A 23,976-nucleotide genomic window follows, 5' to 3' on the forward strand; every position below is an offset into this window, starting at 1 on the left:
CATGAGCTTCAGCCATGGGGTAGGAGTTTTACACAATTATTTTAGTTTCAGTCATGGGGTCGGACTTCCAGATAGATGTGTTCCCCAAGTTTTTCAGTGATAAACCTGTAAGCAGTCGAAAGAATACACAATTAGTGCAGTCTTTAGAAAAAATAAAACCATTGTATATTTACATGTTAGTGTTGATGCTCCTCAATAAATTAACTACAAATTAGTTGATGTACATGAAGTGTTTGGGTGGTTGTCGTAATTAAATCTGAGTTGGTAACTAGCCACATATTCTTATTCCATTTCAATTTCTACTTAGGTCTCAGAACATAATTTGTTATGGAAACAAATAATTCTTCACATACAGAGTATGTGGAAAGTAATGAATTGACCTGTTGGTCAAGGTCCTGACTTGTTAAAAAACCAACCATTCAGAATGGTTGGTCGATCAGAGTCAAATGTCCTGACTTACAGGTATAGGTTCTCTAGTGGTCCTTCAACCATTTACAAAGGCAGAGAAGGTTTTGTAAAATATTTTTCTTTGGCATAGGCTGATCTCAAAAGACCATTTAAAAAAAGAAGTTATCAATCCTTTGATAAACTGCTGCATAGCTGAGCCAGAGGAATAAAAGTTGTTAGTATTTGATGATCTGAAAGGAGCTTGAGGGTAGGAAAATATTTCTAGCCTGGCAATATTAAAAAAACACTCAGTAATTTGAAAATTTCTATCACTGCCTCAAGCAACTTTAGACTCTCAAATGTATAATAAATATGTTTATTTCTGGGTTTAGAACAGATTATACAATAAATATTGGTAAGAACAAAGTATAAAAATCTCATTTGTAACTGAATAATTATAGAACCAATTTATGTGTCTTGGGTGAAAGTACGTCTAAAGAAACACCCTACTCTTTCACATGTCAAATTTTAATGTTATTTTAGAATCATGTACGTAATAAATACAGTACATGAAGTAGTCTTTTGTACTTGGGGATTAGGACTATCCTAATGTTTTTGAAATCTTTATAGCATAAAAAGTAGACATTTTATATTTGCTTACTCAAGTAAGAAAAGTCTTACTCTAAGCAGTGGATTTTTTTCTTGCAGTGGCACATTCTGCCATGTATGCATTTTTAATTTTTTTTTACAGAAACATAGTTTACCATGCTTAAAAATTATTATATCTAATATAAACAATTGTCAGATATGGTATTTAAATATAAATGTTGAAGAGGGATTTGGAAGCATAAAGGAAGAGAAAGATAAACAGGCCTATTAGTTGCCATATTGTAAAAAAAAAAACTCATATAGCTATTGTAACAGATTTTTAGGCTTAATGTTTTTCCTTTAGTATGATGAACTTCTCTTTAACGTGTATCTTACCTTTTTTTTTTAGCTTGAGTGGAGACAAGGCCTTTTTGGGCACAGCGCTAACTGCAGAAACTAGTTTGCCCAATGCGTACAGTCTGGAGCATGGGGAAGAAAAAACAGGAAAACTAATACTGTTTTGTGAATCTTCATGTAAAACTCTGACTTTTAAATTATTTTCATAAGATGAAATATTTGAATGGTCAGGAGGCAAAGAGGTTAAAAGATTAATTGTGAGGTGACTATGAGCTAGGACATATTCCCAACTGAAACCAAGAAAGACATAAAAACTAATAGTAAAACATGGCTTTTACTGTCAAAAATAAAGCAGAAGTTTCTTTCACGGATTCATTATATTGTGGGGCCCTAAACACACTCATAAAGTTGACCTATAATCGAATATTCAAACAGTTTCTTAACTGCTATCCTACCATCTGGAAATTAGTAAGAAATGAATAAAATAATTTATTATTAAAATTAAAAGCAACATCAGGAATGGCATGCTGGCAGGTAAAACGGCACCCAAGGAATATTTCAGAGTCAGCTCTGTACCAATAAAAGTATAATATTTGGTAAGAATTCTGATGATTAACCATATTATGGCATACATTTTCTTTCTCTTATAACCTTCTAATTTTTACTACTTCTCTAGAGATAAAGTGAAAGCTACTAGAATAATAATACTGACAAACTAAGATTGAATCCCATCAGGCAAATAATAAGTAATAGTTGATGGAGACACTGATGGGAACATAAAGAAAGCTTTTAGCAGAATAACGATGAACACTGGTTTTTTGTTTTAGAAATTATATAATAAGAACCATTTGACCATGATGATTCCACATGTGCCCAAGCTTCATTAAAACACTCTGTGAAAATGAGGTGATTTTAAAGACAAATAAGATTGTGATTAATAATTGTTCACATCCTTTTATTTTTTACATGGCTATTTCGACCCAAAACATTTGTTGTAATGCCCAGGTGGCATTAACTTGTATGGAACACTGTGCAATTCATTTATACATCCTTTCAATTAATATTTGTCATAAGCCTAAATGTGCAAGTTGCTAGGGTGCAAAATGAACTAAATAAATTCTTTGTTTAGTGAAGTTTACAGTCTAGTGGAGGTAAAGATCTCAAAACAAATTTTAAGAAATATATAACATATCAAATAATAAGTACAATCCAAGGAATAACAAAGCAGGATAAGGCTTCGAGATTGGTGACAGTGGAGGGGTGCTATTTCATGTAGAATGATCTGGGAAGTTCTCTTTGATATTATGACATTTGAGAAGAGACCCAAAGGAAGTGAGGACGTAAGCCAGTGGATATTTGGGTTACAGCGTGATGGACAGAGAGGAAGAGGAAGTTCAAGGTCTTGAGACAAGAGCATACTTGGCCTGTTGGAGTGACAAGAGGCCAGTGTAGCTGGAGCTGAGTAAGGGGGCAATGTAGAAAATGAATTCAGAGCAGTGAGGAGGGAAGAGCCTATTAAGAGGGAATGTGTAAGCCTCTGCAGGGAACTTGTCTTTTCCTGTTGAAGAGACAGTAAGCATTGGATGGTTTTGCAGAGAAGAGTGATGGGATCTACCACTTCTTAGAAGGATTACTCTAGCTGCTGGGCTGAGAATAAACAATATTTGCTCAAAGATAAAAGGTAAAAGACCCATGAATAGACTATTGCAACAGTCTCAGCAAGAAAAGACGGTGATTTGTTCATGGTGTGTAGTTGTAGCAGTGGAGGTAGAGAGAAGTGATAAAATATTGAATAGGTTTCCAAGGGTGAGCTGATAAAATATGCTGATAGATTAAATCAGCATATTTAATGCTAGCATGTAAATGACAGAGAAGATCAAGGATGAGTCTGAGACTTTTTGCCCAAAAACTGGAAGGATGAAATAGCCTTTCACTAAGATAGAAAAAGAGGATCAGCCTTTAGGGGTAGAACTGGAGATCAAACAGTTAGAATTTGGGCTTTTTAGGTTTGACATGCCTATTTAACATCCAAGAGAAAATGTAAATTAGACAGTGAAGTATAATGTAGAAACTAAATAGCAATAATGTAGAACACATTGTCAATTGATTATAGTTTACTTGAGAAGTTAAAAGTAAAAGCACAGTAAGGAATTCAGAAACACTACAATGCAATTAAAATGTATAATGAAATTAAATATGTAAGTGTTCAAAGAACTCTCTTAACTTCAATATACCTTCAAAATATCCCCCAAAAAATTAACGCTTAATTTGTATTTACAAAAAGAGCTCCATGGCTTGTAAGAGAAATCTGTATTACAAAAATATGAAAATTAGCCTCCCAAAATTACGGAGGTTAAATATTTCTGCTTAAAAATAAAAATGAAAATCGTATACCTTGCCTTGAAATCATTAGTTCACCAGCTTTTCTAACTTCTTATTTTCTTAAAAAGAGCTTACTTAAATGAATATGCTGCTTTGTAAGTTAATAGGGCATAAACCAAATTAAATCACCATGTCGGAAATTGTTCCCCTGTTTTAGCACACGCATAGGATTTTACCTGAAAATTTCCAGAATGTCAGATAGTCAGCTATACAAAATCCAACTGAGGGCAATTAAAGGAAAATATTTTTCTTTCCAACTTGAAAGAAACTAGTGTTAGAACAACCATGAAAGCCTGTTCAAAGTAATATTGAGCAATATTTGTAGAAAAGGGATACCAATTTTTTCCTTAAAATAAATATGGTAAAATAATTATGAGGATATCTGAGATGACTTTGCTACTGAAAAGGAAGAGGAATTTAAGAAAGAAGTATCAAGTTGCTGGGCCTTCGGACAAATAATCAGTTACAACAGAAAGTGCCAAGAACATGGAAACATGATTTTTTTAAATGAAGAATTGTATTTGGAGATAGGGTTAGAAAAAACAGATTAAAAATGGGGGTTAACTGCTTCCCAATGACTCTCCAAGGAGACAACCACCATCCCCAGCTACACAGCTTTCAGAGAGATTCTACCTTCTCTTAAGTAGTCCAGTGCAATTGCCGATACTGGTTTAACTACAGAAACTAATGTAAGTAATTGTAAGTGTGGTTCTCATTCACACTTGTATATATACATATGTTCCTTTCAGGGCTGCCTATAACTTACTTTCAGAAAGTCTTAGAAAGCAGGATAACACTAACTGGAAACAAATCTGTATTTATGGACATAAAATGTGACTCACCCTCTGCTCAGAGAAGCAAATCCCAACATGTTATACATAATGATTCATTTTAGGGCTCCCTTTACATAAATATCACCATATACTACTGGAACATAAGCATCTATTGAATCAGATGAACATAAATCTAAAATTATTTTGAATAGCCTAGTAAAATCTCTTTGTTTTATAGTCTATAAATGTCCCATTAATTACCAGGAAGGAATAGATGTATCTTTATGTATCTAGTAGATGAATATAATTAGCAAATTCTTGAGACCTGCAAAAAATGCTCTTGGAAAAATCTTCAAAAGTTACTGTTATGAGGGAATAAATGCCTGTACCCTTCCCATCACATCTTTATCAGGAACTAATCTAAGCAGAGTTGGGTACAATTTCAGCTGAAAATGGGAATATATATGATTTCTTATAATTATTTTATGACTTTACCTTGAGTTTGAGACATTTTTTTCTTGGCCCATTTTTATTTTTAATTTCTTAATTTTTAACTTTTGTTGGTACATAATAGGTGTATTATTTATGGGACACATAAGATATTTTGATACAAGTATACAATTCATCAATAATAAGATTAGGGTAAATAGGGTATCTGTCATCTCAAGCATGTATCCTTTTGTGTTACGAACAATCCAGTTATACTCTTTTAGTTATTTTTAAATGCACATAAATTATTGTTGACTGTAGTCACCCTGCTGAGCTATCAAATACTGGATCTTATTTATTCTATCTGTATATTTGTACCCATGAACTAGCCCCCAATTTTCCCCATCCCTGCCCCCGCTATCCTTCCCAGCCTCTGGTAACCATCATTCTACTCTCTATCTCCATGAATTCAATTTTGTAAAATTATAGCTACCACAGATAAGCGAGAATATGCAAAGTTTATCTTTCTATGCCTGGCTTATTTCACTTAAGAAAATGACTTCTATTTACATCTATGTTGTTGAAAATCACAGGATCTTATTCTTTTTTTGTGGCTGAATAGTTCTCAATTGCATATATGTATCAATTTCCTTTATCCATTCTTCAATTGATGGACATGTGGGTTGCTTTCAAATGTGGGCTATTGTGAATAGTGCTACAATAAACATGAGACTGAAGATATCTCTTTGATACACTGATTTCATTTCTTTTGTGTATTTATCTCTCAGTGAGATTGCTCGATCATATGGTAACTCTACTTTTAGTTTTTAGGGGAATCTCCAAACAGTTCTCCATAGTGGTTATAATAATTTATATTCCCACCAACAGTGTATGAGGGTTCCCTTTTCTCTGCATCATCGCTAGCATTCATTATTGCCTGTCTTCTAGATAACAGCCATTTTAACTGGGGTGGGGTGATATCTTACTGTAGTTTTAATTTGCATTTCTCTGATGATCAGTGATGTTGGGCACCTGTTTGTCATTTGTATGTTTTCTTTTGAGAAATGTCTATTCAGGTTTTTGCCCATTTTAAAATCATATTATTACATATTTTTCCTGTAGAATTGTTTGAGCTGCTATATATTTTGGTTAGTAAGCCCTTGTCAGATGGGTAGTTTGCAAATATTTCCCCCTAGTCTGTAGGTTGTCTCTTCACTTTGTTTATTGTTTCCTTTGCTGTGCAGAAGCTTTTCAACTCGATGTGATTCCATTTGTCCATTTTTGCTTTGGTTGCCTATGTTGTGGGATATTAGTCAAGAAATTTTTGCAGATTCCAATATCCTAGCGAATGTACCTAATGTTTTCTTTAAGTAGTTTCATAATTTGAGATATTATATTTCAGTCTTGAATTTATTTTTATTTAATTTTTGTATATGGTGCAAGATAGGGGTCTAGTTTTTTTCTTCTGCATATGCATAGCCAGTTTTCCCAGCATTTTAACCATTTATTGAAGAGATTGTCCTTTCACCAATGTATGTTCTTGGCACCTTTGTTGAAAATGAGTTTACTGTAGATGTATGGATTTGTTTCTGGGTTCTCCATTCTGTTCCATTGGTCTATGTGTCGATTTTTGTGCCAGTACCATGCTGCTTTGGTTACTATAGCTCTACAGTATAATTTGAAGTCAGATAATGTGATTACTCCAGTTTTGTTTTGTTTTTGTTTGTTTGTTTGTTTTTTGTTTTTACTTAGAATAGCTCTGGCTATTCTGGGCCTTTTGTGGCTCAATACAAATTTTAGAATTTTTTTTTCTATTTCAGTGAAGACTGTCATTGGTATTTTTATAGGGATTGCATTGAATTTGTAGATTGCTTTGAGTAGTATGAACATTTTTTAAAATATTGATTCTTCCAATGCACAAACATGGGATATTCTTGCATTTTTTTGTGAACTCTTCAATTCCTTGCACCAGTGTTTTATATTGTTATTATAGAGATCTCTCGCTTCTTTGGTTAAGTTAATTTTTAGGTATTTTATTTTATTTCTAGCTATTGTAAATGGGGTCACTTTTTTATTTCTTTTTCAGATTGTTCACTGTTGGCATATAGAAAATGCTACTGGTTTGTGTATCTTGATTTTGTAACCTGCAACTTTTTTGAATTTGTTTATCAGGTCTAATAGTTTTCTTGTGGAGTATTTAGGTTTTTCCAAATATAAAATCATATTATCTGCAAAGAAGGATAATTTTACCTCTTCCTTTCCAATTTGGACATCCTTTATTTCTTTCTTTTGTCTGATTGCTCTAACTAGAAGAACTATGTTGAATAACAGTGGGGAAAGTGAAAAGTTTTGTTGGGGTCCAGATCTTAGAAGAAAGGCTTTCAGTGGGTCCCCATTTAGTATGATACCAGTTGTGAATCTGTCATATACGGCTTTTGTTATATTGAGGTAGGTTCCTTCTATACCCAGATTTTGATGATTTTATCATGAAGGAGTGTTGAATTTTATCAAATTTTTTTCATAATCAATTGAAATGATCATACGGTTTTAGTCCTTCACTCTATTAGTATACCACATTGATTGCCTTGCATATATTAAACCATCCTTGTAACACAGGTATAAATATCATTTGGTTATAATAAATAGTCTTTTTAGTTTATTGTTGAATTTAGTTTGCTAGTATTTTATTGTGGATTTTGCATCAATATTCCTCAGAAATATTGGCTTGTAATTTTCTTTCTTCCTTTCTTTCTTTCTTTCTTTCTTTTTTTTTTTTTTTTTTTTTTTTGATGTGTCTGGTTTTGGTATCAGAGTTATACCGGTATTGTAGAGTTTGGAAATATTTCTTCCTCCTCTATTTCTCAGAAGAGTTTGAGTAGGATTGGTATTAGTTCTTCTTCAAATGTTTGGCAAATTTCAGGAGTGAAGCCATCGGGTCTTGGGTTTTTCTATGCTGGGAGAATTTTTATTATGGCTTTGATCTTATTAATTGTTATTGGTCTGTTCGGGTTTTGGATTTCTTCATGCTCTATTTTGGTAAATTATATGTGTCTAGAAATGCATCCATTTTTTCTAGAGTAATCAATTTATTGGAATATATCTGCCCATAGTAGACTCTAATATTTGCATTTCTGTGGTAATGGTTATAATATTTCTTTGTCATCTCAAATTTTAAATATTTGGGTCTTTCTTTTTTTTAGCAGTTAGTCTGGCTAAAGATTTGCCAGGTTTGTTTAACTTTTCAAAAAACCAACTTTTCATTTTGTTGATCTTTTGTATTGTTTTCTTAATTTTAAATTAATTTATTTCTGTTCTGATCTTAATTATTTCTTTTCTTCTACTAATTTGGGGTTTTGTTTGCTCTGGGTTTTCCAGTTCTTTAAGATGCATCATTAGGTTGTGTATTTGTTTTTCTTCTTTTCATATGTAAGATTAGAGCTATGAACTTTCCTCTTACTACTGCTTTTGCTGTATCACATAGGTTTTTGTATGTTGGGTTTCCATTATCATTTGTTTCAATAAATTTTTAAGTTTCCTTTAAATTTCTCTATTAACCCACCGATCATTCAGGAGTATATTGTTGTATTAGTTCATTTTCACGCTGCTGATAAAGACATACCTGAGACTGGGAAGAAAAGATGTTTAATTGGACTTACAGTTCCATATGGCTGGGGAGGCCTCAGAATCATGGTTGGAGGTGAAAGGCACTTCTTACATGGTGGTGGCAAGAGAAAAATGAGGAAGAAGCAAAAGAAGAAATCCCTGATAAACCCATCAGATCTCGTGAGACTTATTCACCATCACATAAATACCATGGGAAAGACCCACTCCCGTGATTCAATTACCTCCCCCTGGGTCCCTCCCACAATACATGGGAATTCTGGGAGATACAATTCAAAATGAGATTTGAATCCCAAACCATATCATTCCACCCCTGGCTGCTCCAAATCTCATGTCTTCACATTTCAAAACCAATCATGCCTTCCAAACAGTCCCCCAAAGTCTTAACTCATTTCAGCATTAACCCAAAAGTGCACAGTCCAAAGTCTCATCTGAGACAAGGCAAGTCCCTTCCACCTATGAGCCTGTAAAATCAAAAGCAAGCTAGTTACTGCCTAGATACAATGAGAGTACAGGAATTGGGTAAATACAGCCATTGAAAATGGGAGAAATTGGCCAAAACAAAGGGGTTACAGGGCCCATGCAAGTCCAAAATCCAGCAGGGCCATCAAATTTTAAAGCTCCAAAATGATATTTGACTTCAGGTCTCATATCCAGGTCACACTGATGCAACAGGTGGGTTCCCATGGTCTTGGGCAGCTCCACCCCTGTGCCTTTGCAGGGTACAGCCTCCCTCCTAGCTGCTTTCACAGGCTGGTGTTTAGCGTCTGTGGCTTTTCCAGACACGTGGTGCAAGCTGACAGTGGATCTATCATTCTGGGGTCTGGAGGACAGTAGTCTGATTCTCAAAGCCCCACTAGGCAGTGCCCCAGTAGGGACTCTGTGTGGGGGCTCCAACCCCACATTTCCCTTCTGCAGTTCCCTAGCAGAGGTTCTCCATGAGGGCCCTGCCCCTACAGCAAACTTTTGCCTGGGCATCCAGGCGTTTCAATACATCTTCTGAAATCTAGGCAGAGGTTCCCAAACCTCAATTCTTGACTTCTGTGCACCGCAGGCCTAACACTACATGGAAGCTTCCAAAGTTTGGGCTTCCACCTTCTGAAGCCACAGCCTAAGCTCTATGTTGGCCACTTACAGCCATGGCTGGAGTGGCTGGGACACAGGTCACCAAGTCCCTAGGCTGCATGGACCTGGGGCCCAGTACACGATACCACTTTTTCCTCCAGGGTTTTGGGCCTGTGATGGAAGGGGCTGCCATGAATGTCTCTGACATGGCCTGGAGACATTTTTCCCATGGTCTTGGGTATTAACATTAGGTACCTTGCTACTTATGCGAATTTCTGCAGCCAGCTTGAATTTCTCCTCAGAAAATGGGTTTTTCTTTTCTATCGCAGTCAGGCTGCAAATTTTCCAAACTTTCATGCTCTGCTTTTCTTATAAAACAGAATGCCTTTAACAGCACCCAAATTACCTCTTGAATGCTTTGCTGCTTAGAAATTTATTCCACCAGATACCCTAAATAATCTTTCTCAAGTTCAAAGTTTCACAAATCTCTAGGGCAGGGGCAAAATGCCTCCAGTCTCTTTGCTAAAATATAAAAAGAGTCACCTTTGCTCCAGTTCCCAACAAGTTCCTCATCTCCATCTGAGATCATGTCAGCCTGGACCTTATTGTCTACATTGCTATCAGCATTTTGGGCAAAGCCATTCAACAAGTCTCTAGGAAGTTCCAAGCTTTCCCACATTTTCCTCTTTTAAGCCATCCAAACTGTTCCAGCCTCTGCCTGTTACCCAGTTCCAAAGTCATTTCCACATTTGGGGTTATCTTTTCAGCAATGACCCAATCTGCTGGTACCAATTTACTGTATTAGTTTGTTTTCACGCTGCTGATAAAGACATAACTGAGACTGGGAAGAAAAAGAGGCTTAATTGGACTTACAGTTCCACATGGATGGAGAGGCCTCAGAATCATGGCGGGAGGTAAAAGACACTTCTTACATGGCAGTGGCAAGAGAAAAATGTGGAAGAAGCAAAAGCAGAAACCCCTGATAAATCTATGAGATCTCATGAGACTTATTCGCTATCATGAGAATAGCATGGAAAAGACCGGCCCCTATGATTCAATTACCTCCGCCTGGGTCCCTCCCACAACACATGAAAATTCTGGAAAATACAATTCAAGTTGAGATTTGAATGGAGACACAGCCAAACCATATCAATTGTTTAATTTCTATGTGTTTGTATAGTTTCCAAAATTCCTCTTGTTATTGATTCATGGTCTTACTCCATTGCGGTCAGAGGAGGTACTTAATATAATTTCAGTTCTTAAATTTTCCTAAGACTTGTTTTGTGGCCTAACATATGCTCTATCCTTGAGAATGATCTATGTGTTATGATGACAAGATTGTGTATTCTGCAGCCTTTGGATGTAATTACATATTAGGTCCGTTTGATCTAAAGTGCAGATTAAGTTCGATGTTTCTTTGTTGATTCTCTGTCTAGAAGATCTGTCCAATGTTGAAAGTGGGGTGTTGTATTATAAGCAGGATGCTGTTATTTTATTGGGGCCTATCTCTCCCTTTAGCTCTAAAAATATTTGCTTTATATATCTGGATACTCCAGTGTTGAGTGCATATATATTACAATGGTTATATACTCCTGCTGAGTTGCCATCTTTATTATTATATACTGAAATTTGTCTCTTTTTGTAGCTTTTTTCTTGAGATCTATTTTGTCAGATATAAGTATAGCTACTCCTGCTCTTTGATTTCCATTGACATGGAATATCTTTTTCCATTTTTTTTACTTTTTGTCTATCTGTGTCTTTATAAATGAAGTGTGTTTCTTGTTGGAAACAGATTGTTGAGTCTTGTTTTTTTTTTTCAATAAATTCAGTCACCCTATGTCTTTTGATTGAAGTGTTTAGTCTATTTATATTCAATGGTGTTAATGATAAGTAAGAGCTTACTCCTGCCATTTTGCTATTTTTGGAAGGTTGTTTTGTGGTCTTCTCTTCCTTCTTTACTTCCTTCCTGTCTTCTTTTTTACAAAGGTGATTTTCTCTGGTTGTAAGTTTTGATTTCTTGCTTTTTATTTTTTTGTATCTCTTGTGTGTTTTTTGATTTGAGGTTACCATAAGGCTTTCAAATCATGTCTTATAACCTATTATTTAAAACTTCTGACAACACTGATTATGTAAATTAACAAAGAGAAAACTAATGAAAACTCTACACTTTAATTCCTCCCCCGGCTTTTTAACTTTTTGTTGTTTCTATTTGTTGTATTGTACTTTCTATGTCTTGAAAAGTTGTTGTAGCTAATATTTTTGATTGGTTTATCTGTTAGTCTTTCTATTCAAGACATGAGTAGTTTACTTATCACAATTACAGTGTTACAATAATCTATGGGTTTTGGTGTACTTACTATTACCAGTGACTTTTATACCTTCAGATGATGCTGTATTGCTCATTAATGTTATTTTCTTTCAAATTGAGGTACTCCCTTTAGCACTTTTTGTAAGGCAGGTCTTGCATTGATGAAATCCCACAGCTTTTGTTTGCCTGGGAAAGACATTTTTTCTCATTCATGTTTGAAGAATATTTTCTCCAGATATATTATTCTAGGATAAAAACTTTTTTTCCTTCAGCACTTTAAATGTGGCATTCTACTCTCTCCTGGAATGTAAGGTTTCCACTGAGAATTCTGCGGCCAGATGTATTAAAGCTCCATTGTATGTTATTTATGCCTTTTCAATTGCTGCTTTTAGGATACTTTCTTTATCCTTAACCTTTAGGAGATTAATTATTAAATATCTTCAGGTAGTCTTGTGTGTATTAAATCTTCTTGGTGTCCTATAACCTCCTTATACTTAAATATTGATATCTTCCTCTAGGTTTGGGGAGTTCTGTGTTATTATCTTTTTCTATAAACTTTATACCCTGGACTCTCTCAACCTCCTTCAATAACTTTCAGGTTTGGCTTTTTGAGGCTATTTTCTAAATCTCGTATGTATGCATGCTTCATTCTTCTTTATTCTTTTTTTCTTTTGTCTCTTCCGTGTATTTTTTAAATAGCCTGTATTCAAACCTAATGATTGTTTTATCAAATCTATAATTAAGAGACTCTGATGCATTCTTCAATATGTCAATTGCAATTTTCAACTACAAAATTTCTGCTTGATTATTACTAATTTTTTAAATTTCTTGGTTAAATATATCTGATAGGATTCTGAATTTCTTCTCTGTGTTACCTTGACTTAATCTAAGTTTCCTCAACACAGCTATTTTAGACTGGGCACAGTAGCTCACGCCTATAATCCTAATACTTTGGGAGGCCGAGGTGGGCAAATAACCTGAGGTCAGGAGTTCGAGACCAGCCTGACCATCATGGAGAAACCCCATCTCTACCAAAAATATAAAATTATCCGGGTGTGGTGGCGGGCTCCTGTAATCCCAGCTACCTGGAAGGCTGAGGCAGGAGAATTGCTTGAACCCGGGAGGCAGAGGTTGCAGTGAGCCGGGATCACGCCATTGCACTCCGGCCTGGGCAACAAGAGCAAAACTCTATCTCAGAACAAAAACAAAAACAGCTATTTTGAATTATCTGTCTGAAAGGATCGATCCCTGGTTTCTTATTTCATTTGGCAAAGTCATGTTTTCTGGATGGTCTTGATGCTTGTTTTTCAGTGTCTGGGCATTGAAGAATTGGGTGTTTATTGTAGTTTTGCGGTCTGGCCTTATTTGTACTGGTCCTTCTTAGGAAGGCTTTCTGGCTGTTTAAAGGGACTTGAGTGTTATGATCTAACTTTTAGATCACTGCAGCCTTATCTTCTTTAAGGGACACCCCAAGGCCAGTAACACTGTGGCTGTTGCAGACTTGTAGAGGTACCACCTTTGTAATCTTAAATAAGATCCAGAAGAATTATCCAATTACCAGACAGACACAAGCACCCCTGTGGCAAACACCACTGGGACTGTGCTGGGTCAGACCTGAAGCCAGCACAGCACTTAATCTTGCCCAAGTCCTGCACTAACCACTGCTTGGCTACTGCCTATGTTTCCTCAAGGTCCTAGAGCTCTACAAACAGCAATGGGGAAGCTAGCAAGGACTGCATCCTTCCCTTCAGGGTGACAAGTTCCCTCTGGTCTGAGCAGGTCCAGAGATGCCATCCAGGAGCTAAGGCCATGAATCAGAAACCTTAGAAATCTACATGGTGCCCCATCTACTGTGGCTGAGCTGGCATCCAAATCACAAGACTAAGTCCTTCTCACTCTTCCCTCATTTTTTCCCAAGCAAAGGAGTATCTCCCTGTGTCCACCACCAACACAGTCCTATGGGGAGTACTACCTGGCTACCGCAACATTCATTCAAGGCCCAAGGGCTCTTTAGTCAGCTTGTGGTGAATGCTGCTAGGCCTGCCACTCTTCCTTCAGGGCAGTGGGCTTCCCTCTGATCCAGAGCAGGTTCAGCAATGCTGTCCACAACCCAAGGCCTGGGACCCAGGATCCTAAGAGCCCACTTGGTGATCTACCCAACTGTGGCTGAGCTGGTACCTGGGCTGGAAGACAAAGTCCCTTTTACTCTTCCCTCTCCCTTTCTCAAGCAGAAATAATCCCTCCTTCTAGCTGGGAATCTGATGGGTTACACCTGAAGCCAGAATGTCTCTGATTCTCACCCAAGGCCCAGGGTGAGTACTGCCTGGGTACCACTGCTAATTATTCAGGGGCCAGGGGCTCTTTAGTCAGCAGGCAATAAATTCTGCCAGGACTGCTTTATTCCCTTCAAGTCAGTAGGTTCCCTCCTGGACAGGGGTGTGTCTAGAAGCATTGTCCAGGAGTGAGGGACTGGAATGGGGCCTTAGGCATCTGCCTTCTGCTCGATCATATTGTGGTTAAGCTGTTGGCCAAGTTGCAAGACAAAGTCCTCTTTACTCTTCCCTCTTCTCTCCTCAAGTGGAGGGAAGGAATCTCTCCAAGAGCTGTGAGCTACTCTGCTTGGGGTTGGGGTAGGGATGGCACAAGGATTCCCTTGGCCACCCAGGCTGGTGCCTCACTTATTCACATGCTCCCCAAGTCCACAGGCTCTCAGTGTAGCACAGCACCAGGGATTGCATTCCTTGTTCCTTCAATTCCCTTTTAAGTTTCTTTAGAACTCCAGAGCCCTTTAGCCCATGGTGGCAAGGCTTGCCAGATCTCAGGTTCCAACAACTGAGATGAGTAATTTTCCTCTGGCTATGGATGGTCTAAATGCTTCGTTCATAGGCACTGGCTGAATTCTGCCCACTGTTGTTTTCCACTGTGATAGGAAGCACTGAATTTCAATATAAAGTCCGGCAGTCTCTGTGCTCTCCCTTTCCCAAGCATACAGATTTTTTCTCCATGTCATGTGGCAATGCTAGGGAATGGGGGGGTGGCATCGGTAAATCAAGACTGTCTTTTCTATCCTCTTCAGGGCCTCTTTTAATGATAACAGGTTGAAACATTGTACTGTAAGTCCTCACCTGATTTTTACATCTCATATGCTTTTTTGTGTGTGGATAGTTGCTCATTTGGGTGTTCCTGTAGGAAGGATGATCAATGAAAGCTATTTGGTCATCTTGCTCCACCTCCCAAAAAAAATGAGACATTTTTGCTAACTCTTAATATACTCTGAGTGTGCTGTCTTGGTCTCTGCCTTAACTGAGTAACATCATTAAAATCACTCTAGATGAGAATAGTATTTGTAGTTGAACCAGGATAGATAATCATTTTCACGTGTAAACATTTGGAAGCATTCCCACAATGTATTATAATCTGAAGATTGTTGCATATAGAAGTGTGATGCATGGAACATCACTAGGTGGTAAATAATAACACTGTTGAATATTTCCAGAATGGCTGGATTTGAAGGGTTGGCTTCAAATTGAGGGAAATGCTTATCTTTTCCAAATGACAATTTGATAGTGGAAAACTAAAAGGAGAGTAAGTGGGGAGCAGAAGAAAAAACAGGCATCTCCTACCTCTATCGCTACCCACAATAAACCTTTCACTGTAAGTATAATGGTGAACTCAAAAAACTTTCCAATACTTCAGTAACTGATCCAGTCATTTGAAGTGGCTGTGAATTATTTCAAGAAAGGAATGATGGTGTGTTAATCTGATCATGAGACATTATTCTTCTTGCATTGATGTACTTAAAAAGCATATTGGAAACAAACTTCTCTGCTTCAATAACACCATGCAGTAAAAAGAGAAAAAAACTTAACACACTTGAAAAGGCTACCTTTTGAAACCACACATGGCTTGTATAAGGATAAAAAAATCACTCTGAACGTATCATATCCTGTCATCCCAGGTGAACACCCATCTTCTCTTTTCCATTCTTTTCTATTGTTTACCTTAACTTGGAAGCCTCTAAATCTTTTAATTTTGAAACTCAAAACAAACAACACGTGGAGTTATTTTGTTTTGTAATGAGTAAGAGGAGAGTAAGAACTCTCCTGCTGATTAAAGTGAAAGCAAAAGGATCATGGAGAAAAGAATAGAAGCCTAGTGTTGTATTGGGGTGGTTTCAGTGACCAGGAGTCTTGAACAAGGGTGGAGAAATGAATTAATATCTGGCAGAGAAAATCGAGTGGTCTGGGAGAAATAAATATATAGAGATATTAAGATGAGGTAAACCCTCCAGTTCTGGGAAACAATCAGTGTTGTTGAGGATAAACCCATCACTCTTGGCTCTGTACGAAAACCTGAACTAGTTCTCTATCAATTGTCAGCTTTTTTTTTAAATTTACAGAACAAACCCCTATGTCCCATCTTTGTCTTCTCCTCTGTTGCCCCCCTTCCCACCCACAAGCTGGGCTCAAGCACAAGTGTTTTCCTTTTTCCTTTTATTTTTTTATTAATAGTGCAGATTTTGAGGGATACACTCCGCATACTTTACAGAAGAGTGGCAAAAACACAAGAAGCAACAGCAATGCCTCCCCGGTGAGCTATTGCTTCATGACTAGGTATAATACCTTTTTGGAAAAAAATGGTAATGCTGATTTCTCTGGAATGCATTTTTGTCGGCTATGTCTTCTTCATGGAGGAAAAAACTGAGAGGTAAGCTGGTTTTACAGCAACTTCTATTTCTTGAATAAGGCATTCACTTCTTCCAATTTTCTGAAGGAAATTATGATTTTCATTGTGTTTGTATGGAGTGTTATTATGTCTCTACAGCTGAATATAACAACTCAAATATCATTAAATAGAACACATGATCCAAAGTTAACCTTTCAGTGTCCCTTGTCACAAACAAAAGTAAACGACAGCATTAAACCCACACCACAGAGAACAATACTTATGGAAAACTCAACATACGCCAGGTACTGTACCAAGTGCTTTAAATGGATGCTCTCATTTAGTCCTGGTAATGACTACTGGAAGAGTACACCTTTACTTCCATTTTAAAGATAGGGAGACAAAAACCCAGAGAAGCTAAGGAATTTGTCAAAAGTTAACCACCGGCAAGTGGTGGAATTGAGATTTGAATAAAGGTATTATTTCAAAACCTTTGCTTTAAACCACTGCATTAAATTATTTTCAGTAAAGAAGTTGGCAAGATTTTGAATGTCAAGGAATTTTATGAAATTATACAAGACATAGAAAGTCTTGTATAATTTGTTGTCTGTTCAACAAATTTTTGTCTACTTTCATGATGGTGAAGTTATTCTCTCTTTATATTATCAAAAAGCCTTCTGGTTTTCATTTCACATTTATCATTTATAGCTACCTGGGATTTTTATTTTGTATAGTCAAGCTTTGTTTTTTCTATAAGACTGCTTAGTAAACCCAGTATCATTTCTTGAAAAAATCATTTATATTCCCTTATTGCATGTCCTTTTTTGTGTGTATTTGCTTCTATCATTTTTGAACACTTTACACTTTATACATGCCCAATTAAAAGGACTTATTGATTCATTTACTTAAAGAGTAAAATACTATAATATTTCACAACAAAATGTAGATGATCAGAAAAATCTTCATTTACTAGTCATTTCATGGCAAAATTGTTAAAGATAAATCAAAAAATTTTATTTTACAAAAAAAGTTGTTTCAATTTGCTTACTTTTTCTGTGATGACCACTGGCTGCCAGTGGTATACTCCAAGAAAGTATTTTTAATAAAATAACCAAACTTAATCTTACTCTTCAAAATGAAGTTGAATTTTAACAAAAATTAAGTAAGTAAATGCTTTTCAAAAACACAGGGATAGTAAATGGATACACACAGAAGGAAATACTTCACTTGTTATATAATTTTTCTGCTGAAATATGTCACAAAAATTCTTTAAAAAATTAAGAATGTAAACAGCTGGTAAAATAATTTTCTTTGTTTAAAAGTCTTATAAACAAAGAATTTTAGTAATTTTTTATTTCCATAGATTTTGGGGGAACAGGTGGTACTTGGTTACATGAGTAAGTTATTTAGTAGTGATTTGTGAGATTTTGGTGCACCCATCATCCAAGCACTATACACTGTACCCAATTTGTAGTCTTTTATCCCTTACCCCCTTTCCACTCTTTCCCCTTGAGTCCCCAAAGTCCACTATGTCATTCTTATGCCTTTGCATCCTCATAGCTTAGCTCCCGCTTATGAGTGAGAACATATGATGTTTGGTTTTCCATTCCTTAGTTACTTCACTTAGAATAATACTCTCCAATTCCATCCAGGTTGCTGTGAAAGCCATTAATTCATTCCTTTTTATGGCTGAGTAGTATCCCACCATGTATACATACCACAGTTTCTTTATCAACTCATTGATTGATGGGCATTTGGGTTGGTTCCACAGTTTTGCAATTGCAAATAAATTTCGAACCACTTGTTGTTTTAATTTGCAACAAGTGGTTCAAAAGGTATTTGCAATTGCAAAAATGTGGAACACCTGTCTACTTTCTTTTTATATATTTTATATATATATATTATTATACTTTAAGTTCTAGGGTACATGTGCACAACGTGCAGGTTTGTTACATATGTATACATGTGCCATGTTGGTGTGCTGCACCCATTAACTCGTCATTTACATTAGGTATATCTCCTAATGCTATCCCTTCCCCGTCCCCCCACCCCACAACAGGTCCCGGTGTGTGATGTTCCCCTTCCTGTGTCCAAGTGTCCTCATTGTTCAATTCCCAACTATGAGTGAGAACATGCGGTGTTTGGTTTTTTGTCCTTGTGATAGTTTGCTGAGAATGATGGTTTCCAGCTTCATCCATGTCCCTACAAAAGACATGAACTCATCATTTTTTATGGCTGCATTGTATTCCATGGTGTATATGTGCCACATTTTCTTAATCCAGTCTATCGTTGTTGGACATTTGGGTTGGTTCCAAGTCTTTGCTATTGTGAGTAGTGCCGCAGTAAACATACGTGTGCATATGTCTTGAAAGCTGAAACTGGATCCCTTCCTTACACCTTATACAAAAATTAATTCCAGGTGGATTTAAGACTTTAATGTTAGACCTAAAACCACAAAAACCCTAGAAGAAAACCTAGGCATTACCATTCAGGACATAGGCATGGGCAAGGACTTCATGTCTAAAACACAAAAAGCAATGGCAACAAAAGCCAAAATTGACAAATGGGATCTAATTAAGCTAAAGAGCTTCTGCATAGCAAAGGAAACTACCATCAGAGTGAACAGGCAACCTACAGAATGGGAGAAAATTTTTGCAATCTACTCATCTGACAAAGGGCTAATATCCATAATGAAAAGAACTCAAACAAATTTACAAGAAAAAAACTGACTACTTTCATGAATAACTGAGTAACATCAGAAAATACAAAATGAGTTATATAGTGGCTTAAAACAACACTCATTTATTAACTCACAGTTCTGTAAGTCAGAAGTTCAGCACAATATGCCTGGAATATCACAAAGCTGAAGATGTTGAGTGGACTGAGTTCTTATCTGGATGCTCTGGGGGAAAATCTGCTTCCAAGTTCATTCTGTTGGTGGTGTTTATAGGACTGAGGTCCCTGTTTCTTTGTTGGATGTGACCTGGGGGTTGTGCTCAGCTCCAGAGATAGCCTGAATTCCTTTCATATGGTCTCATCCCTCTTGAAGCCAGCAATGGTGCCATGAATTCTTTTCATGCTTTGAGTCTCGGACTTCCTCTTCAACCAGCCAGAGAAACTTCTGTGCTTCTTAAAGTGATGATGTGATTAAGTCATTCCCTTAAAATAATTTTCTTACTTTAAGATCAACTGATTTGGAATCTTATTACATTTGTAAAATTTCTTTACAGCAATGCCTAAACCAGTGTTGGATTGTATCAATTAGCTAGGAGTGGGAGGTACACTAAGGGCTAAGAATCTTAGGGGGCCATCTTCAAATCCTGCCTACCACAGGGGCAACAAGTTACCTCAAAATGTTGATTATTACAGAATATTGACTTCCTGTATGTAAGACAAGAAATAAATTTGATAGGGTAAATATAAAATGACTTATAAATTGTGAATGTTTCATTTATTACTCATCCAAATACTGCTGCTCCATCAATAGAATATCAAAAGGTGGGCAATTTAGTTGTCTTTGATTTTTGTGCCAATGTTTAATATTATAAAAATAATAATTTTATACATATGTTTAATTTTGTAATTATGAAGATACATTTGTCCAGAGAAGGATATTCGACTTAATAATTTGTTTTTCTAATTTATGACTTTTACATGTTTAAATTATGGTATAAGGGGAATCCTGGAAATTGGCCTGCTCTTCTCCCAATAAATAAGTCATGCTTTTTTTTTTTTTTAAGGCTAAGTGATTAAGGTGCTTAAATGTGGGACATTTATAGAACAAGACAATTTGTTCCCTGCTATCCTTTGATTCCCTTAGCTTACTTAAAGTGTCTCCAAGCCTGCTAAATAACAGATTTCTTATACACAAAGCATTCCTACAGCAACTCCTGGTGGATTTCTTCTAAGTGATACCCCTGAACCTACCTGTTCTGAACTACAGAATAAATAAAATGCTCCTGCTGAAAAATAGTTTTCCAACTAACTTCTCACCCTTTATATTCAACAATTCCATTGGTGCCACAGTAAGATATGGTCAAGGTCTTTGTACAGAACTATCTAGTTGAAGTAATTTTTTACTAGTTTATTGTACTGGCCCTTTTTTCTTCTAAGATTTCCTATTATTATTTTTTCCCAATGAAGCTTTACTTAGCAACATCTCAAGCATTGTCATGAAGTGATGTGAACTCGTTAAACAGTCTGAGAGAGCTTCTGCCACAAATTTACCTGAGGTAGCTTCCTTAAGCTATCTCTTTTTTTCCTCCCCCCATTACCTATCAGCAGCAGCAGTAATTGTGAGTTGCAGGGATGGGTTCGCTATATGTTCTTTACCATATACAAGTAACTCATCCATACAAGCCTTATAAACCATATATTAAATATTAAATGCACAATATTTAAGGTTATTTGTCAATGATAGTCCTATGTCCTCTATTTGAGACGTTAAAGTTATGGTATTTTGGTTAATTAAACTTCCAAAAATTATTAAGGAAACATGATCTGACCATTACAGATTCATATACGGCAGCAGAGGACTGAGTCAGGAAATCAAGAATGCATGTTTACCATAAAATTCAACAGCTTGGCCACTGCCTCTGATACATGCCTATAATTCCACTTAGTGATTATCACATGGCACTGTTTCCAAATATTGTCAGAAATCTTAAATTTCTGATTGCTGATTAGTTGCACACAAGGTCCAAGTCACAACTAATCCATAGCTAAACCTCTAGTATGTTTATCTTTTTCAACCACTCTCTAAAATTCTGCAAAGTGTTGGTGGCATTTTGCTTACTGTGAGACTTCAAAAACATCTCAACTCCCCTGTGGCTGGAATAGGTTGGCACTCAAACTAGAACCTTTTATGTCCAGTGTCCATTATATTAATAATGTTGCCTCAGATCAGTTAGATTTATTGTCTTCAGATACCCAGACCATGTTTTAAATAATTGTACTAAGATTTTCTATTTAACTAAGTCACATTACTGCCCAAATGAAGGCAAGTCCTAATCTTGATTACATTTTTAAAGTGTAATTATCTGGGAAAGAGAAAAGAAATAATAACAGAGATCTTATGTTTGTCCTGATGGCCACATGCTGAGAAGTTGGGAGGTATTTAAATTTAATATCCATTAGGAATTCACCAAGCAGGCCTGAACTTAGTGCAAGGATCTCTAATTTATGAAACTATCTTGAGGCTTCTGTGAGCAAATGTAGGTCTCTGTGCTCTCCTATCCCCTGGCAAGGGAGGGGTATGCACTTTTGTTTCATTATGCGTTACTTCCTAAATTGTAAGTTATCATTCTCTAAAAGTCTGTAACACCAAGAAATAATATCGCAGCACATGGAGAGAATAAGCAATTGGATTTCCTTTTCTCACAGGTATGGTCATGACTTAGGTACACGTGGGGACTGAATTAAGATTGAATGCGTTGTATTTTAAGTCAGAGAAACATGATGAAAACAAAAAGCATGCAGTTGTGTTCACTAAATTATCTTTCATTTTGGTTAGTAAAGGAAAAAATATTGAAGATTGTTATGTTAAAGAGACTGAAAACAAAGGGCAAGACTCTGCCTCAGCTCTCTCTGCCTGATGACAGGACATCAGTCCTTGCTTATTGGAGACAGCACTTGCTTATCAGCCCAGGGAAGGCACCAGCAGACACCAGAGGAACTTGGGAATGGATTTTACTATCTCCCCACATTTTCCCACCATTTAAAAGACTGAAACTTCTCTCTCTTTTTTCTCTACATAGGATTTATGGCTCTTTGTTAAAATACTATTAAATTCAAGCAAGGTCCCTGAGCCACAGCTTTGAGAGAGAAATACTTTTGAACTGAGGCCTCTCCTGTGTGATAGAACAGCACATGTTAATAAGCTTATGCTTATTTTTCTTTTGTTAATCTGACTTTTATTTTCAGGAACATGTCTGAACTAAGAATCTTAATAGGAAAGGGAACGAAATTGTTTCCTTCCCTATACTAGCTAAATATTGGGATATGCCATTACCAAATGTTACAATAATGGCTTACATTTCACTGTGTACCTTAGCAATAGAGGAAAAAGAAGAGAAAAGGAAAATCATAGTTTTTTTTTTTTTTTTTTTTTTTTTTTTTAAATGGAGTCTCCCTCTGTTGCCCAGGCTGGAGTGTAGTGGCGTAATCTCAGCTCACAGCAACCTCCGCCTCCCGGGTTCAAGCGATTCTCCTGCCTCAGTCTCCAGAGTATCTTGGACTACAGGTGTGCCCCACCACTTTTGGCTAATTTTTGTATTTTTAATAGAGACGAAGTTTCACCTTGTTGGCCAGGCTGTTCTCAAACTCCTGACCTCAAGTGATCCACCCGCCTTGGCCTCCCAAAATGCTGAGATTACAGGCGTGAGCCACTGTGCCCAGCTGGAAAATCATACTATTCATCAACACAATTCAATGAAACTTTCTGAGATAATGAAAATGTTTAATATCTACACTATCCGATATGTTAGTCACTAGCCATGTGTAACTATTCAGCACTTGAACTGTGGCTAACTTGATTGAGAAATAAACTTGTAATAAATTTAAATTTATGTTTTTAAAATAGTTTTTATTGTGTGTATTGTGTGTATTCTATAACATGTTATAGAATACATATAGATAGTAAAAGTTACTGCGGTGAGGCAAATTAACATGTCCTTCACCTCACAGTAACCCTTTTGTGTGTGTGTGTAGCAAGAGCAGCTAAAACCTACTCATTTAGCATGAGTCCCATATACAGTACAGTTGTATTACCTATAGTCTTCATATTGTATGTTAGATGGCCACATACAGATAGTGGCTACTGTATTTAGACAGCAGAACTATAGACACAGAAACAGCAACACTCTATTTTGAAATTGAGTTCAGAAGGATACATACTCAGAAATGCCAAAACTTTGGGGTTGATTAATGTCAAACTCTTACCCTATTTTCTGACTCCCAGGAGATAACTAACACTTGTGTTGCAACTTCAAAATTGTCCTTCGATTTATTCTAGTTAATGACTAATAGTACTCTAGCTGTACTTCCCTAATGGATTTTAAAAGCTCCCAGAGAGAAGTATGATCTTAAAATGTACCCTTAATGTATGGTGGCCCACCTTAGACATTTAAATATTTATTACTACAATTTTCTTGGGAAGAACATGCTGTATATCTTTAATAGATAAGGATAACTTAGACCAGCAAAGTATCTAAATGTGAATATTATAAAGATAGGAAAAGAGTTTACAGTACAGGCTGCACATTCTCTCACTCTGAAGGCCTTGTGTGTATATGCATGTGTATATGGTTAATAACTGTGTGAATCTCAGGCAGGAGACACTTTTGAGGGAACCACAAATCTTTGTCTTTTATGTAGCTTTGGCAAAACTAGGTGACTGTATTG

The 23,976-nt window shown here is 36.4% G+C and overlaps 1 long non-coding RNA gene across 2 annotated transcripts in view; it reads right to left on the bottom strand.

Annotated features, from left to right (window-relative positions):
- Positions 1 to 19,495, bottom strand: part of LOC105377378 (uncharacterized) — a 30,113-nt gene extending 10,618 nt beyond the window's left edge. For both annotated transcript variants that reach the window (XR_939090.3, XR_939091.3), the window contains exon 1: positions 19,390 to 19,495. This is a non-coding gene — a long non-coding RNA (uncharacterized LOC105377378). The remainder of the gene's footprint in view (positions 1 to 19,389) is intronic.
- Positions 19,496 to 23,976: the final 4,481 nt, after the last annotated feature.

Source organism: Homo sapiens, chromosome 4 (genome assembly GCF_000001405.40).
Source record: "Homo sapiens chromosome 4, GRCh38.p14 Primary Assembly".
In the NCBI taxonomy this organism is placed as follows: Eukaryota; Metazoa; Chordata; class Mammalia; order Primates; family Hominidae; genus Homo; species Homo sapiens.